Genomic DNA, 19,945 nt, shown 5'->3' with positions numbered 1-19,945 from the left:
GTCAGCAATGGTACTAATTTTTATTTTTTAAGGGAGGACTCAATGGGTACAACTGAAACCCTCAGAGACCCTAGGCCTTCTCAGCTCTCATCTCCGTCCTGGGATAAGGAGGGCCATTATCAGAGGTCATTAAGTTAGAAGGTTCTCTCACAGGCCTATCTTCCTTCCTTTGATTAGATTGTGGGGCTCCATCTTCACTCAGTTCAGGGACAGAACAGACCAGGGACTGTTTCAGCTTTTCTCAAATGTGCCAGACCAGTGCTTTCAGCATGTAGCAAGAAAAAATTTCACTACCAATCAAAAGAATACATTGCCCATGGCATTCTGAAAAAAAAAAAGTTATTTCAGTGATGATAATAACAATAATAATAACAACTGCTACCACAAGTTACCCCCTGCCAACCCTCTACTTAGAAGCATTATGGTTAAGATCCCAAGGCTCTGCAAACAGGACATCTGGATTCAAATCCCAGCTCCACCATTTTTTGGCCATGAGACCTCAGCCAAATTTTGAACATCTCAAGCCTCCACTTTCTCATCTATAAAATGGGAAAAATGGTATCAAATGCTTCCTGTGAGAATTGTATCAAAAGCACCGACAATAGTAAATGGCACCTGGGAAGTCCACAATGGAAAGTATTGGTCATTATTAACAGAGTGGAATTTAAAATATTTAATATCTGAGATGGTCCAGTCAGCAACCAATCAGATTGGAAGGTGACCAAGAGCAACTGGTTTGGCCTGACCAAGGTATACCAGCTACCAGCCTTGATTATTAGGACGTTTACCACCCGCCAGGTACTAAGTTAGGCATTTTTAGGCATTTGGCGTGCACTAATGCATTATCTCATTTAATCCTCACAGCAACTTGGTTTTATTATGTTATGTATTGAAATACATGCAATTGCACATTTATAAATAAGACTATGCCTATAAAATCAGAGTTCTGCATAAAAAGACTTGGCATATCCATTCCTGCCACCCTAATGACTCTTAGGATGTGAATTTCAAGGGTTGCTTTTTCTGGGACATTTTTAGCCTCATTACATAGGTTCCTTCTTTTACTTACTCATTCTTTCAATAACATTTGGGGTAAAAAATTACGGTCCATGTCTCAGTTTATTCATCCATTAAATGAGTGTTTCTATCTAAGTTCCCACTGCTCGACCCCAACCAAACCTGAGAACATCAGTCTTCTCCAGCCAAGACCAAGTCACTAGAAATCAGGCATTAGAGAGTTCTTCTAATCCCTCAGCTAGCACTTCAATTGAGTCAAACCCTCCAGGCTCCCAACCTGCCCCATAAGCTTGGATTTTTAGTCATTAAAGTCCACACATGCCTTATTCCTAAGCAGATTTCAAATTCAGCCCCCAGTGCTATTGGCCCAAAGCATTTTGCCTAAGGCCCCTTCAAACGTTCCTCATGCTCTTCTCTCCTCTCCTCCCCCAAGAGCTGTGCTGCAATGCTGGCCTGCTGGAGTTTATTTGGCTTTCTGTCACCTATGTGATGATGATTCCAGTGTTATTAATAGGTGACAGCTTATTAATTAGTATTATTAGACATGGGCCATGCAGTGCAGACAATACCACAGAGGGGCCTGGCATCCTTCAAGGAGAAGACTTGTACAAAAAGACTTGTCCCTGGGGCCCAGTGAAAGGACACAGGCCCAGCAGTGAGTCAACAGCAGTGCTTCCCAAATTCTAAAAGCCAGGCACCTAATCCAGACAACTGTGTCTGGCACGGGAAGGAGAGAGAAGCGAATGTGAGACTTACAGGCATGTGAGAACACGAGCCCAAAGAGAAGCCTGAGCACTCAGGCCTTAAGGAGGTCACCGCCCATGAAATGTTTCTCACTACAGGCATCCCTTCTACCAGGGTATCTGCTGCCCCCAAAGAGGCTGCAGGAAAGGCTAGCTCCTGGAAAGAGCAAGGGTCTCCAACTTCCAGTTCCAATGGGGAACTCTCTACCTTCGTGTTCCTATCCTGCTTATTCCATGGGAATAAAATAGTCTCAGGGGCTCACAGCCAGTAGAAGCCTCCCAGCCAACTCCCTGAATTCAGCAGCCTTTTGCCAGCCCTCCGCACAGGACTACCAACTCCAGCCTTGGGGAGAGCCAAGCTAGGAGGTAGCATGCCTGCCCAGTGGCTGCATCCTTCTCCCTGAGTGCTCAGGAGCAAGCAACTCATCTAGACTGATGGTGACAGAATATTTCACTAAGAAAACAACAAAAACAACAACAACAACTTTATGAGAAAAAAAATGAGGAGGAAACAATTTCTTCTCGGTAATAATTTTCAAAGCAATTCTAGAATTTCCTACTTGGAGATCAAATTTTAACATGGTCCAGGTATATTTGGAGTGTTTAATGGGCTTGAATGTTTGAGCAGCAAGGAGTTACCTATTAATACTTGATAACTGCTTTCAAAAAATTATTCATTTCTCCAGTCTATGGTGAAAGTTCTCATCTGTTTTCAATTTCATTTCTCCCAAGAAGTAGGTAAGAGCAGCCTGGGCTGGCACAACCATTCTTAGATTGAGTGCCGAGAGGGCAGAACCTACATTGCTGGAAGGAACAGCACAGTGTGATGGCAAAGGGCACAAGCTCCAGTTCCAGACCCTAAAGGCTGGAATCCAGATCTACCACCTACCGGCACTGGGACCCTAGGCAAGTTGCTTGACCTCTCTCTGCACCTCACTTCTCCCTTCTATGCAATGGGGATAATTATAGTACTTACTCATAGGATTGTTATCAGGATTAAATGAGCTAATATTTGTAAAGCATTCAGTTGATGTCATGGTGTAAGGGCTATATAAGTGTTTGTTCAATAAAACAATAAATAAAACAATTTCCCAAAGGCACTACTCTTTCAATTACTCCACTATCCTTACCCTTAATAAATCCCCCATCATAATGACAATGGTGATGCGCTGCTCCTGAAATATCTCAGGAACGTGGCAGGAAAGATGTTAACTCTGCTACTATTTGTGATGACCTTGCTGGTGTAGGTTCAACCAGGTCGGGTTCTGATGCCTTTGACCCATCTCCGCCTCCGCCTCTCCTTCCCATTGCCTCTCTCTCTCCCCCTGCTGGACAGCACTCATGCCAGCCCGACCCGTTCACATTCACTCAGCAGTGCCTGCTTAGCCTCAGGTGCAAGCACAGAAAGGCAGCCCCAGCAGTGGCAGCTTTGTGGAGGCCAAAACATACCCTAGACCCAGCCCTATCAACCATCCTCTGACCCATGCACTAAAACGATTTTTAAATTATATACTTTTGCCTGGTTGTGGGGGGTGGGGGGCAGAAAAAACCACCCTCCCCAGGATTCAAGCTGAAGATGGAATGATTGCCAAATGCTAACAGCTTTTCAAAGAGGACGTAGTTAAAAATATATCTGAAACGGTTTTAACTCAAACTCAAAAAATAGCTTAACTAACTGGGGAGCTGTAGGCAGTGGGGGTGGGGAAGTGGAAGAGGAAGAGGGATTCCCTTCTGAGGGGCCCACAGCAAACCTCACTACAGGGATACCTGAGGGATGCCTGGTTTGTTTTCCCTCATGAATAATACCTTTCAGAAGCACAGACCAGATCTCCAGGGAAAGGAGCAACACCAGAAGGCTTATTGCTGCTGCTCCATATGAGCAGATGCTCCTGATAAGGGCCACACTGTGTGGCTTCCTAGACCCTTAAAACTCAAAGTATGGCCACAGCAGCATTGCCTAAGAGCATGTGAGCAGGGCAGAATCTTGGTCCCCACCCCGGCAGACCTGCCAAACCAGAATCTGAATGTTAGCAAGTTGTCAGGAGATACAGATTCAAATTCTGATCCTATGCATACTACCCTGGACTTTATCGTGACACCTTAACCCTAAAAGGGCTGGACTTGCACGATTTCTCCCCATCTGACATGTGAGGTAACTGAGACACATGGAGAGACCCATCTAAGATCACCAGCTAAGTCAGGTCTAATGGTTATCATCCAGAGCCCTGCTCCATCTCCTAAGGCCCAAATTAGCCTTCATCATCAGCCCTACCCAAAGATAACAGAGAAGCTGTGATGTGTGTTTCCTAGGGGCGAAGGGCTTAGAACATAAGTCTATTGCTCAAAGCAACATTTCTCAAAGTATGTTCAGTAGATCATTATTCCCATCAGACACTCTGAGAAAAATAGTCTATCATCAAATGTACTTAGAAAATTCATAACATTAGGAATTTTAACATTAAAATTAATATATTTAAGTCTCTGAGATGTCCTCCAGCAAAGAAACCTGCATAACACTATTTACTCTTGAGTTTTTCAAACTTATTTCAACATTAAACTCTTTTTTCCCCACCAGGGACCTAATAGCATTAAGAAAAACATGATTTTTTTTATGTTCTGAGAAATAAATGTTGAGATTCACCAGTATTTCTCACTTAATCATTATATGCTCAACTAGTCTGCAGGAAAACATAATGTTTCTTAAAGGAAGAAGGTAGGGGTCAGGGGAGGAATTTTTTAATAACAACCCCCAAAATGTCATTATTCAATCTGTGATTGATCACTTCCTGCGACAGAAAGCTCACTACCTTACAAAGCAACTCAAGTCCTTGTTGGATGGTTCCAATATTTAGACACATTATTACACTAGGCTGAAATCATCCTCGTCATAACATCTTAGGCAACAATTGCCTAAAGTTTACCTTCACCACCAGTGTGTACAGGGAATTAATTCTTGTTTCTCACAGTTACCCATTACATATGACTCTGATAATAGCAGACTTCTAAGTCTATCCTCTTCTCTACAGTTCACACCTTCCAATTTTCTCAGGATCACCGAAGTTTAGAGCGTCAAAGTATTTTAGATATCATCTAATTTAACCCTTTTATTTAACAGATGAGGAAACCATGTCCAAGAGCAACCACATACTTTGCCCGAAGTCAGTGGAAACTTAACCTGGGAGGTGGGATTTAAATACAGTACGGTTCATTTTTTCTTTTCTTGGTAGGAGACCTTTCTTTCCCCACCAGAAATTTCTCAATGCCTGAGGTTCATATCTAACTTCCAAGGGCCATCACAGAAAACCACAGGACCTCCCACATTCTTCTCCTAGGAACCTTGTGAGATGCCACACTGGGGGCCAGATGAGTCACAGAGCTCAGCCAGCGTGGGGAGTTTTGTGTTCCAGCCTCTCTCCTCCTGGAGTGGCCGAGCTGGGACTGTTCTTCACCCCACGCTGCCTCCTCACCACCACTGCCATCTGCACCCTCCTTCTCCAGGATCACCATCTGCTTTCCTGATACCATTCAACCGCCCCAGCACTTTGCTCAGTTTCCTAGCCCACTTCTTGAGCCACTCTCCCTGCAACTTGTGAATTTCCTTTTCTTTTCCTTTTCCACCTTCACTTCCTCAGTCCACAATATCAAGAACTTGCATGTTTGTAGTCTCCCGCTTCCTCACTCCCTTTCATGTCAAGCCCCCACCAGCCTGGAAGTTCCACCAGAGCCCATTGCTTGGGCTGATATGTTGCCACTAGGCTATATGTGTCTGCCAAATAAATAAATGAGGCTCTTTCTTCCTGTCCCTTTTTTATCCCAGGGTGGCTTCCTATATACTGAAATATCATCATTTAAGCCCACTAGTCTCCGCCTTCCTACGAGAATACTGCTTTCCAGCAAAGGGGGCAAGGGCTGGATATACAGTAGGTGTTAGGTAAATGCAGACTGATATTACCAGGCCCCTAAGAAACATTCCTCTAAGCTAAAGATGATGGCTGCTTCTTTCCTCACTACAGAAATCTGCACTATAGGAAGACAGTGATCACATTTAGACAATCATGGTTATATCTAAAAGTTCTCAATAAATATGTGAGAAATTACTTTAAAAAAAAAGCTATGGGCACTTTTGAAGCTCGTGGCAATTTCAACTTGTTTGGTTCCTATTCTGTGCAAGACATTTCACATGTATTATCTCATTTAATACTCAAAAGAATTCTATACAGCTGGAAAAGGAGGCTCAGAGAAGGGATTTAGACCTCGAGCTTTCTGGCTTCCACATCTGTGCCTTTCCCTCTCCCTCCTGTAACCAAAAGTATTCATCAAAGGGGTCCAGCCCTATATCCTTCATCTCCTCATTTCCTTTACTAGATACCAGTTTGTTTCCTACTTCCTTTCTCCCCTTTCCTCATCAGTAGTTACTCTCTTCTCTGACCACTGCCTTCCATGTCTCCAGTCCTTTGAGAAGCTCTCCCTCCCAGACCTCCCATTCTTTACTCCCCATTGGATATGTAGTAAATGCAGACATCAGCAGACAGAATATTTGCACTAAAGGCTGCTCTGGAAGCAAACCAGAGTCCTATGTGAAGGGTAACTGTGAGAAACAGATTTCAGTGATTAATGCCCTATGCACATGGGTGATGAAAATAGATTTTAAACAATTGTTGACTAAGAAAACCTCAAAATATAAAAATCTGGCATGTAACTATGGGGACCAGGGAATCAACCTCTTCCCCCACCAAATGCTCTGATGCATCTGTTTCCAAACTCAAACTTAACTGGTTCAAGGCTTCTCTCTACTTTGCAGCCTCTAATAAATGAGTAAATGGGCACTATCAATGCCAGAAACTGAGATGAAAATTACCTAGAAGTCTAGAAAATCAACCAGACATGAATAAATCACCTTCTGAAGAATCCAAATATATCAAGAGCTTCACATTCTTAGTTTTTAAATATTAGCTCTCTATCTTGTTCTTCCATGCCCCATCACCTTGTCCACAATTAATCTTTAATTTATGTAACAAGTATAGTTCACTTTGAACACTGATGATCCCACTTCCCCTTAGAGCTCAGGCTTGAAGCACATGAGGAACATGCTGCTGGGTGTGGGTGAGACTGGTACAGTAGAGACTTGGGAAAAATACAAGATGTCCTTTTTATTTTCTGGAGAAGTCAAGGAAAATAGATGACAAGCTCATGGGTCAGACTGTCTTACTCTCCTAAGGCACACCCCATCCTCCTTCATGTCAATCTCCAATGTGATGTAAGAACAACTCCAGTGGAAGGGTGAGACATAGCAGATTCACAAATACAGACAGGAAGACCTCTTTACTTTGGCTCCCAAGAGTCTGTAGTCCTTGCTGATTGGAAGTGATCCCCTGACCAGATGTCTTTCATAGCCATGTGCTGAACTTTTCTCCGTTTATACTTGCTCTTGAAAAATCTATCCTGATTCAAAGGACTTTATTAACTCTTCCTCTCTCTCTCTCTCTCTGAATTTTTCTCCAAGTGTTTGCCAAACTATTCTTGGGCACGGTTTTATTTATTAATTATATCACATTCTGATTAGAGGGGATACGGCAGTAAACAAGACAGGCAAAGCTCCTGTTTTCACATACATTATATTCTAGTAGACATGATAGACAGAAAACAATAAAACACATAAACAAATGAGAAATTTTCAAATAGTGGTAACTGCCAGGAGGAAAACAAAATCATAAGATGTGGTGAAAAAATAGCTAGGGGAAAGAAGAGCCATTTTGCACTGGATGGTCAGAGAAGGCCTCACTGAAAAAAAAAAAAATTGACCTGAATCTTGACTGACAAGAAGAAGCATATCACGCAAGAATATTTTTTTTCAAGATGATAAGACAAATATTATTTGGTAAAATTCCAGCTAAAAGGTAAATAAAATTCCAGAAATAGCATTAAGGTGTGTCATTCTTAGAAGCTGGTCTATAAAATGAGGTGGGAGGCTGAGTGCGGTGGCTCATGCCTGTAATCCCAGCACTTTAGGAGGCTGAGGTGGGCAGATCACAAGGTCAGGAGATCGAGACCATCCTGGCTAACACAGTGAAACCCTGTCACTACTAAAAATACAAAAAAATTAGCCGGGCGTGGTGGCGGGCGCCTGCAGTCCCAGCTACTCAGGAGGCTGAGGCAGGAGAATGGCGTGAACCCGGGAGGCAGAGCTTGCAGTGAGCTGAGATCATGCCACTGCACTCCAGCCTGGGCGACAGAGTGAAGGCTCCGTCTCAAAAAAAAAAATGAGGTGGGAGACGTTTACTATAGGAAGAACATGAGAACAGGGGAGAGTCAAGGAACCAGCTTTTTTTTAGCCTCAGGAAACGTGTAACTACTTCCCAGAAAGTCATAATCTTCAATGTTTTATAGCATCATGTTTAAGAGAAGGGACTCTGAAAGCAAACTACCTAGTATCAAATTCTGGTTCTACTGCTTACTAACTATGTGACCTTTGGAAAGTTATTTAACTTCTCTGTGCATCATTTTCATGATCTGTAAAATAGTTATAATAATAATACTTACCTCATAACATTTTTGTGAGAATTAAATGATTTAATATATGTAAAGCACTCAGAACAAATCACAGAGAGTAATAAGTAATAATAATATATAAATATTATCATCTTTATTGTTAGATTCATCCTTCATGGACACTCATGCACACAACAACATCAGGCATTCTCCCAGATCACTACTCATGGCAATCATTACAAAGACCCCTGTGCAAATTGAGGGAGGCAGATCCCAGCAGGAAGCTGATTTCAGGCCTAAGCTTGAAGAGGTTTAAAAAACAGGCAGAAATGAAGAATCAGGGTGTGTAAAATTGTTAAAACCTCTGCTTCCTTTAGAACCCCCTCAAGGCACACAATGTACTAATAACACTCTGTACTAATAACACTCACATTTAGTTTATAGAAGCCACATAGGGAGGCCCAGCATTTCCAGGACTTTTTCCCAGGTCTCTTCTTGACTACAGTCACTATCTAAGGTCCAGCATTGTCAGTAACCAGATGTCAGTATTTGTCAGGGCAAAAAACAGCTCTCCTGGAGTCACAACTCATCTGATTCCTGTGTGAGTTATAAGTTTGCCCAAGGCTCAACTCCCAGCACATATCAGCCAGCATATTAAAGGTGCCTGACAAATGCCTGTGCAATAAATGAATTGTAGCTCTTTCATTATGTTTGTGCTTCAAGTGGACAATAATATAAAGCATCTACTTTTGCCCCTCACCACCAGGAAGAAAACCAAATGAAGCATTATAAAACAATCAGTTGGCATCATAGAATAAGAACAAATGTGAAAGTGGTCATTAGTTTGTACGATGGACATCCATCCAGCAAGCCCTCAAATGCTTGCTACTCTGGTTCCAACTCAACCCTCCTGTAGGGCAATAATGATCCTTAGAACTCTTGTGGGCAATTTCCCCTCAAATTTCCTGTGGAAGTGCATTGCTTCCAGCACCACGGAGAGCTCCCAGCAGCTGCCTTCTCCGTGGGGCCGGCTCCGTCTTCTCAGAACCACGGAGAACACCAGGAGACTCAGCAGGTGTACAGGATCTAACTGAAGTCTCCCAAAGTGCCCTAACGTCCAATAAATATCAAAAGAATCTACTATCCTGCAGCAGGGCTGGAGAGAGCGGGCCTGAAAGCAGCTGACTAATGATTGCAGCTTTTGTGCCAGATCAGCATTTTTATTCCCCCCAGCCCCCAGCAGTTAAATGCCCAAGGTGAATTCAAAAGCCGAAGTCCAAATTGTGATCAGATCAACTTGGCTGCGCCAGACAAAACTGATCTTATCTGAATGGTGACTTTATTCACTTTGGAGAGCAGAACTCATTACAATAATAAGGAGCGACAGAAATGGGAGGAAGAGCAATCACAGCAGATCCAGGGAAGAATTCACTTTACCATCATTTTGGAGGATTAATTCTAAGCTTCCCTTCTATAAACGTCATTCTTCACTCTAGCAGGAGGTCCAGGGTCTGAAATTATTCTAGCTGACTTGCAGAATGCATCACTTTGCACGTGATTTGCAATCCATTTCTGCTTCTTCCTACTAAGCTCAATGATATTTAATGGCCACTTGGCCTTCTGCATATCCTACTGAGCTGGTGTGAGGAGGTGCACACGCTGGAGGTCACATGGTGGGTCACAGGTGTTCACAAAGGTCTGAGTGTGTGTACATAAAGAAAACGGAGTGTGAGTGTACAAGCACAGAAGAGGTGTATGCACTCTCACAAAGAATAGAGCTGCTTTGCTGCAAGAGGGAGAGTAAAGAGGAAATGTGTTGAAGCAACTGTGTGTGCTTAAGATAATATATTATTTCTAGACCTGGTCCTCACTCTAGATCCCTACCTACTAGCCAGCTTAAGTGAGAAGATTATATAATTACCTGGAATCTTCTCATTGGGGATACTAATTATTTCGTCTCATTTCCCAAGCTACCTCCTAAATGCAAGTCCACTGCATTAACTGCCTTTTCTTGAACCTGCTACATACTTTCACACCTCCATGTTTTATTCATGCTGTTCCCTCATCCCCAAATTCCCTCCTACTTCCTCCTCTCCATCTCCTTACCCAATTAAAAATATATTTCTATTAAAAAGTATATTTCTATTAAAAAATGTGTTTCGAGGCCTAAATCAAAGTTCACTTCCTCACGGTGTTGTCTCTAACTCTCCCTCCATAATTACTCGTCTCTTTGTTCTCACAGCAAGCTATTTTTAACTCCTATTAGAGTTATTTGTTTGCATGTCTCTGTCTCTTCCTCTCTAGATTTTAAACTCCTTGAGAGCAGGGATTTTTCTTTTTAATCTTTGTATGTATCCCATCCTCATGCAGACAGTTTCTGGCTTATCACAGACACATCACAATACATTTTAAGTCAATAAATAATTGAATAAAACTTAACAATATAAAGCATAATATTTTCCTCTGTCACCTTTCACCTGAAATCTTGTATTCTGCAAATGGCCAAGGCTTTTCTTGTGCTGGTTTTCTCCACTAGCTTAACAATTAGGAAAGAAAGGAAAAGGAGTTGACCTGAAGTGTCTGGTGTCACTGGCTAAGACAAAGCTTTGCCATAAAACTAGAGCACACCTTGGTGGCTCTCACTTGTGCCATTGGTGACATGTGTCCAGCTAATTCTCAGGTTCTGGACCCTACTTTGGCCTGGAGGTGCTCACTTGGTATCTCCTACCCTTAGCAAACTTGTCTGAACTTGACTTCTAGCTTTTCAAGAGTTATATCTCCTACTCTTAGCAAACTTGTCTGAAATCTCCTACCCTTAGCAAACTTGTCTGAACTTGACTTCTAGCCTTTCAAGAGTTACGGTGTCTCCCTGATTTTACAAGTCCTAGCTATTCCTTCAAAATTCCTACTCTTACCTTCTAGCTATCTACCACCTCACTGAGCTTCAGGTGCTGAATCCTTCAAAGTACCTCTGTGCCACATGACAATGTATCATTCCAGAGTAACTATATGTGTGAGTGTAGACGTAAACATGACCAGACACAACATGTATATATTCAATTCCTTACACTCAGAACATCACTCTGAGTGCTATTATACAGAGGTCAGTGCACCCTCCCATTAGGAATGGCGCACTTCACAACTCCTCACAGAAAGAACACTGATAAACTTGATGTCAGAGAAATGCCTGCATCGCCTCCCTCATAACCTCTCTATCTAGGAGCAGTTGTCATTTCCCAGCACCTGCATCCTCTACATCCAGCACTCTCAGGATGGAGTCTGACCAATGGGAGGAGAAAGTGAAGGCTGCTGAGTCTCAGAGAGAGGCTGCCTCATCACTGGGATCCTACGAGAGAGGCTGGTGCTGGGATCTCTTTCCCAGATTCCCAGTGTCCCCATCCCATGCACCTCACATCACTGGTTTTTTCATGCATCCTTCTCCCCACCTCATCTTGTCCAGTTCTTTTCAGATTTCTCGGCTGAATTTTGGTGGATTATCACCTTCTTATCTTGCTTAGCTCACTGGAGTCTGCGTCCTTTGCTTTTCGTTTATCTACTTCCTGACTCTTGAACTCTAAGTGGGCTCTGTGTTCTGAGATAGCGCAAGATTCTTGCTTTTCCTGCCACCTACACTATGGCAAGATGAGAGGCATGCAGGGCACTTGAGATGAGAAGGAAGAGTGGGGGAAGGTAGCACTGTGCTTAATATGCCTAGTGTTCCATTACTGGAACACTAAGCATGTGGGAGTTATTTATATCCTACTGCTCAAGGTCATTGCCAAGGTCTGATTGCAAAAATTCAAAAAATTGCAACCCCAGGCATAAATAGGTTAACAGATGTAACAGTCCTGCATCCTGAATGATCAAGTCTCACTGCAATCACTTTCTAAGGACTTAGTGGTTAATTTGCATTATTCCAAGATCATTTCTCATTTTATTCACAGTAACTGCTGTTTCCTCTGGAACCAAAAGAGTTAAGAGAGGCAGCCCACATGTAGCATTATACTGAGTTTAAACTTAGCACTGCCTCTTCAAGCTCTGGGCCCTACCTATCTTGAGACTCAGTTTTCTCATCTGTAGAATGGAAATCATACTTAACTGAGGACTGCAATGACTATAAATCAGATGACCTAAGGCAATACAATACCAGGCACAGAGCAAAAACAGTGTGTTTTGAGCCCTGTGGTGCAGGCCTGCAGGACTTCTGTGGTTAGTGTGAACTTGCGGCAAGTGGGGGCAGCAGAGGGCCACTGGGGGAGTGGAGATAAGCCTAAGAGGCCTGGATCTTCAGAATCCTTGATTCCAAGGGACAGGTTCCAGGAGCAGACATATCGAGGTGAGTGGGATCCTCTAACAAGAAAATAGAGAAGAGAAACCAGGTAGGCAGAGGCCCAGGTAGGCACACACAGGTCTACCTGAGGTCAGTGGGTTGTGAGGTCAGATGTCTGGAATTCATGAGAGATTGGCAACACAGAGCCAGCTAGGCCAGCTGGAGAGCCTGGGGGTACCTGACAGAGGCCAAGAACCCTGCAGTCACAGAGATTTCCCCTTGAGTGCCTCCCAGAGCCACCATGCCATGGAAAACAGCTTTTTGTCAGCTCCAACACAGGCAGCCCACATCAGCAGAATCATTTTGTTGAGAGAGGTTGTTTTTTTTTTAACATATAATAATTTACACCCTTAGCCCAACTATAAAGGTTTAAGATTCTCTTGGGCTGACAATGCCCCTGTCTTAAGGCCCTTGCTAAAAAGCCCAACCTTTCAGCTTCCTTGTCTCATATTTTCCAGCTACAGAAATAAATCTCACGTGTCCTGGGGAAAGTGTCAAATATCTACCTCCAGACATCTGGACCCAAGTTGCATCACATATAAGAAGAGGGTGCTGGATCAGAACTCTTCCGCTTCTCAAACCACTAAGATTCAAAAGCTGAGAGTTTCTGATTTTCCTTCATTCACCTTGTGCTAAGCAGCAGCTCCACACTGAGCAATCTGCTTAGGAAATAACATTATGTTACTGCCAGGGACCCTCCATTGGCGGGGTGGGGGGTGAGCATCAGAGTAGTTCATCTGCCCCAACATTAGATCCTGGGGCTTCTTTTGTTTTTCATTTGTTTGCTTGTTTGTTGAGACAGGGTCTCATTCTGTCGCCCAGGCTGGAGTGCAGTGGCATGATCACGGCTTACTGCAGCCTCAACCTCCTGGGCTCAGTGGATCCTTCCACTTCAGCCTCCTGAGTAGCCAGGATTATAGGCACATGCCTGGCTAATGTTTGTATTTTTTGTAGAGACAGGGTTTCACCATGTTGTTCAGGATGTTCTCAAACTCTTGCCCACCTCGGCTTCCCAAAGTGCTGGGATTATAGGCATGAACCACTACTTCTGGCAAGGAAAGCTTTTTAAAAAGACTTATCTATGCCTAGGCCTCCATTACCAGGAATCTTTATTTTATATATATATATATTTTAGTCTGGTGTAGGACCAAGAATAATGGTTAAAATATCTACTGACCAGTAAGGCATGAGCCCCAACCACTCTGGGGCATGCTGGCAGGTACACCATACCTGCAAGTACAAATTGGGTGTCAACCTAGCCAAGCGGGGGTGGTTGGTCAAGCAGCCCAGGTGATTCTAATGTGCAGAGTGGTGAGACATTGGGTCAGACTTTGCCTCTGGGTAAATATCCAGTAACTGAGGCTCCTCCAGGCATGAAAGCAGTTTACAACTAAACCCACCTAAGAAGCTCTGTCTGCACTGACGAAGAAATCAAGATGGGGTTTTGGTCACGAGGCACACACACAAAGGATCATGTGGTCTTTGAGGGCAGGAACTATTTTGTCTTCCTCTTCGAAGACACACAGTGTCGCCGCCTCTCACAGTGCTTGGCACATAGGAGTTGAATGCATCTGATGAATGTATGATTGAATGAATGAATGGCACTGGCTTTCTCATGGGCTTCTGCCATGAGGCAAAATGACACACACACACACAGCCTCATGGAGAATGCATAACCTGTGTGCAAATGCTGCTCACACTTTCTGTAAAGAAGGATTTATTTTTATTGGATGAAGGGAAGGGGGTGCTGTTGTTCATTTTTCACATCAAATATTTCTGGGCAGTTTGCCCAGAAATCACTAAGCAGTTTGCAAGGAAATGGGGATTTCTTGTCTTTGTGTAACCACCCCACCTCTATCCCTCTTTTGGGTCCAGGAAAGCTTTCTGTGTGGGTGAGCTTTCAGAGGCACCAGCCAAACCCTGTGTTCTTGTCTCCAGAAGTTCTGGCGGGTGATTCAGCTCTCTCGGTCCCCTGGTATGTCCTTGGGCCTGCTGTCCCAGCCTGACCATGCTGGCCCTTTATCCTTGCTTCTCCTGCCAGACCCCCCACCCCCATCCCCGGCAGCACTGACCCATTTCTACCTTCTGCACCGTGGTGTAGGTCTCTGACTGAATTGTGGGGGTGGGGGGAGAGGAACAGACTGCCGTTTGGAATCTTAATGAGACCAAGTCCATTTCATGATGCTGTCATTTCATATTTCACCGCTATGATATGAAGGCTCAAGAGGCCCCAGAGCAACTTTCTGCTTTGCACGCAGGGTGCTGAGAGGCAGGAAGAAGGAGGGAAGTGGCTGACAGACGGCAGGAGACCACTCCCCCTTCATCAGCCTCCCTGCCCACACCAACACCAAAGTGGCAGAGGATGAGTCCTTTCCTTGGAGACTAAAAATGAGACCCAAATGCATGAAGCCAAGGAAGGAGTTTTCACCAGGTAAAAGAGGAGCCAAGATCAACGCCGGGCAGGAAGGGAGGAGCCACCCCCTCACTGCCAAGCTCTCGCATGTTCTCAAATACAAACAGAGCTGGCCTCGGGGCATCATAGAAATTGCTATTATAAATTCAGATGGTGCACCAGGGGGTGCCTCATTTTCTATTATTGTGGTTGGTCTCGTGAGCCACTCTGGCAATAGGATCTCAAAAGTGCAAGTGCTACCCCCGGGGGCACTGTTAGAAACACATTATTTTAAAGCACTGCAATAAAGCATGAACTCAAACAACTTCATTGAAATAAAGATTAATACGGAGCATGTGTTCCTCAGCCTCCTCCCACCCACACACCCCACAACTCATACCTTTTTCCCCACATAAACACCTGGGGATCAAGCTCCCTGGCCTATCTGCCTTGCCTACAGGTCAGGGCTTGATAGGATATAGGACACAGAACTTGAGTGACCATTAGGAGAAGAGGTGTAGGAAGGCCAGGCGGTGTCCAAGGCAAAATGTGCAGACACAAAGGGATCATCGTGCTGTGATTCCAGGCCCTTTAGCCTATGGGATGCAGTGGAAAGAGGCCTGGACTAGGAGTCAGGGGCCCTGGATTCTTGTCCAGGTCCAACTGTTAACTAGAGGCATTAACCTGAGCATATCATTTAACCTCTCACATCCCCAATTATGTTTTCTATAGTCCTAGTCTCCCTGTTTCACAAGATTTATGGGTGGGAGGCAGGGGATGAAACAAGATAAGGCAGGTAATATAAAATGTTGTGAAAACTAAGATGTGTCATCCCAACATAAGAGACGTGTCCTTTTCTCCAGGGTGTGGTTCAGGAGGAAGGGGCCTCAGCTCTCAGCCCACCACAGGGCTCAGATGCAACACCTTCTTCTAGCTCAGCAGAGCAGGGGACTGAGGGTGGGAAGGGAGGTATCCCCTACTGCTCAGAGCTGCCAGGGCTTGGAAGGGAATTGACAAAATGGGACACTCCAGGCTCTTTTCACACAGGCCCAGGAGATACAAGCAGGACAGTAGAACTAGACTAGTGAAAAAGAAAACCCAGTGACCCTCTGCTCACAAAGGCTTGGAGGAAGAGGATGTGGGCTCCGAAAGGGAAGCACTAAACAAAATAATCCTGCTGAAATTCATAACCTTCCCTTCAACCACAGAGCACTGAGCCCCTTCCTTATGTTCTCTAATCTCCATGGAGGGTAGGGAGTAAGAGAGTCTTCTACCCGTATAATAGGTGGGACACAGATGGCTTATCTAAGTCAGGAGGTAAAACCAGGACTAGGACACACAGATACTGGCCTCTAATCCAGACTCCTTTCCTTAGGACCCAGGTCTTGAAGAGGAATATTTAGAGGTAGCTCTCATTTAAGGAAAACTATTAATCAGATGGGGCTGTCTACAATCAATGAAAAGACATGAAGTAAAATTCATGCTGCAAGATCTGCCTTTTGTTCCAGGTTAAGAGAAGAGCTCAGGATCTTCCTTGAAGCCTTGTCCTGTTGTAGCTCAGCAAGACCATATGGGGGTGACTGGGAACACTGGAGACCCCTGGGGGTCCAGGGAGGAGAAAAATGATGAGGGTCTGGCAGCGGGGTTAGAATAGAGCACGCTGCAGTCACTACTGCTAGTGTCATGCAAGAGGAAAAAGGACTAATTAAAAGTGGGAGACAGATGCCCCAGTGGGTTTTGCATCTCTTTTGCTTTCTGTTTCTGGAAGGGAAAGAGGATTGTCATAAAAATAACTGAACTGACATCAAATATTTAAATTTCAGAAATGGAGGATAAAGGAAAAAAGTAAAATTGAAAGTGAGATTAAAATATTCTGTAAACAAGGCAGGAAGCCAGTCTGTGAGAGGAGGGCATTTTCGTCTCCAGCTTCGTGGGTGTCATGGCCATGCCACACCAACATGCTGCGTGCCGGATGTATCCAAGGAAAGGATGAACTTCATCTCTGAGGATTGGAGAGTTGAGGCAGCAAGCCCAGGTCACAGCGCCTATGTGGGCTGTGGAGCTTGGCTCTGTTTAGTGGGCCAGACTGTACTTGTCGCCCCAGCCCACTGCCTCTGAAATGCACATCACTGGCCATTAAGGGGACCAGGCAGAAATGTGGAGGAGGCAGTGAAGCCCAACTACAGCATCAGAAAGCCAGAGTGTGGGCCAGCCACAATATCTCTGCCTCCAAGGGCCGTGCATGGCTCAGCATGAAATCTTCAGTGAGACATGAGAAGAGGGAAGACAAGAAACACAAATTCAGGACCATGGTTGATAAAGAAGTGACTGAGTGAAACACAGATATACCCTCTCCATCCTTTCAGGGATGCATGAACTCTCCTCGCCACTGTAACCTGTGTTATGCTGGGATGGGGGAGGCAGCAGAGCAGAGTGGAGAACCAGTCTTGGAGCTGTAGTTATAGTTGTCTAGTCAAAACAAGCTGAGGGTCAGGAATGCAGATTTGGAGAGATGTGTGGGACTCGGAGCCTGAAATACAGGAAGGTGTGGAGTCCAGGCAGATGGACCAAGTACATTAAGATAAAATAAGCAGATGATAAGGCTGTAGCAGAGCTTCCACAGTGGACTCAGCCAGCATTTGTAACTGAACGGAGCAAGCCTGGGTTTTCAGGTTTGGGCAATTGATCCAGGGAGTTAGGAAGTGAGTGGAATGTTTGGTGAAGGTAAGACTACAGGGATCTAGAGGAAGGATGGGGGACATGGGATGTCAAGGAGCTTTTCTTACTGGAAGCTTGGAGAGAGGATAAAGGGACAGAAAATTAAACTTCCAACAGAAAGGCTGCTGTGGGAAACATGTGTCCCCATCCATGCAGTGTTCAAGTAGCATCTGAGTGGAGGAGATTTCCAACATCAAGGTGACAGCTGTCCTACATGAAAACTGAAGTTCCCATGACTCCATGACATTTCTCTTCCCCCTACCCACGCTACCACAATCTAACTCCCATACACACATATTGTTACCTTCCACCACTCCTGTCATCAAATTAATAGGAGAAACTGGTTGGATAATGGAAATGTTTCAAACATATATACAAGTCCACTGAAATGCAAGGAAGTGTTCTATCAAATAAAAACTGAGACCTGCCATAGTCCAAAAGCCAGAACCTAAGACTGTTTTTTTCCTCTGGATTATAACCATCTGGGTGTTGCCACAGAGTTCTTATGCCCTCCCGGGGGGACAAGACATTCTGGTCAGCATCTCTTTGGCTATAAGGGGCTCCCCTTCTGATATATGAGCTCTGTAGCTCAGAGCTCAAAGGGAACTGTGGGGTTCCTGGTACTTGTCTGCCCAGTAGCACTGCCACCCTACCTCCCATCATGTCTCCTAAATAAGCTCAATTTTGTTCCAATATCAAGCAACCACAGCTTTATGAAAGGCTAACCCCAGCCCCAGAGAATGAATTTTGATCAGTCCAAGCCAATGTGGTCATTCCATTCCTCTTCCTAGTGATTGGTTTAGAAAGGGGCAGGTGATGCCTTTCTGACCAATGAGACTTGAAAGAGAAACCTGGGCTTCTGGGAAACTTTTTCCTTCCTCTTCAAAATAGCCATGTAGCATATCTTCATGTGATGCCATCTTTAAACCACCTTGGGACCGTGAGGAGAAGTCAGCCTAACAGGATAAGCCTAAACTCAAAGGATGGCAGAGTAGAATGAGAGAAAGAATTTGGAAGCATGTTGGAGCCACAGATTTCACTAACTCTGGTTTGCCTATATAGACTTCTTGTTCTTGGAAATGGCATAATATTTACCTTATTATTAAAGCCATTTTTCTTTGAGTCTTATGTTACCTACAACTCAAAGCATGCTCATTGATAGCCATGCCATACTGCTCTCACCTTTAGGGCCTTTGCACATGCTTTTCATTCCATCTGGGCTCTTTTTCCTCCCAATCACTCCTCTACCTGGATAGTGCTTACTCATCTCTCAGGTTTCAGCATAGATATAGGCTGCTCCAGGAAGCCATCCCTGACCTTCTCGCTTCTGCTCTCCCAGCATCCTGTACTTCACCTCTCACAGTGCTTATCCCACTGTTTGACCCTACCCTTCCCTAAGCTGTAAGTTCCATGAGGACTGGGACAGTAAAGGTTTTGTTGACTGTTCTATCCCAAGTCTAGCATACAGTAGTCACTCAACGATTTTATTCATTCGACAGATAATAATAGTGGTTAACACTTAATAAGCACTTTATATGAACGAAGTTCTATTCTAAACATCTTAATCTTCACAACAACCAATGAAGTGAGAAAACAGACACACAGTGGTTGAGTCACTTGCCCAGGGTCACACAGCTAGAGAGTGGCTAAGCCAGGATTTTAACACAGGTGGTCTACCTCCACCACGAAATACAAAACAATTATTGAGCACCTACCACATCCGAGGCATAGCTCTAGGTGCCGGAAATACAGTATGACCAGACAAAGTTCCTGCCTTTGAGGTGCTTCCATTTGAATGGGAGGAGATGATAATAAGTAAGCAAATACATGCATACATATATTGAATGGATGAGTGAGCAACGGGCAATGCATGATGTAAAGTAAAGCAGTGTGGAATACACACTGGCCTTGAAGTCTCCAGACTTAGATTTAAACCCTGCCTCCTCCATTACACGATAATATGACCTTGGGCCAGTTACTAACCCCCTCTGAACCTCAATTCCATCAGTCAGCTGTAAATTGGAATAAAATGAGGATACTTGTAAAACAGGCTTTCACCTTCTCTGCTACATACTAGGGCTTTAATAAAATGTTACTTGAATCTGGATCCCCACAAAGTATGAGCCTCATGAAGAGAAACAAGATGAGTCTTAGAATTGGAGAACTGGCTGAGAGAATCTACAGAAAATCTAATTGGTAAATTAGAAAAGGGTAATTTATCTTCCTGGACTAGAAGGACTCCAGAGCCAAGCCAAC

Source organism: Homo sapiens, chromosome 14, assembly GCF_000001405.40.
Source record: "Homo sapiens chromosome 14, GRCh38.p14 Primary Assembly".
NCBI classification, from domain to species: domain Eukaryota; kingdom Metazoa; phylum Chordata; class Mammalia; order Primates; family Hominidae; genus Homo; species Homo sapiens.
This window is presented reverse-complemented; position numbering follows the sequence as displayed.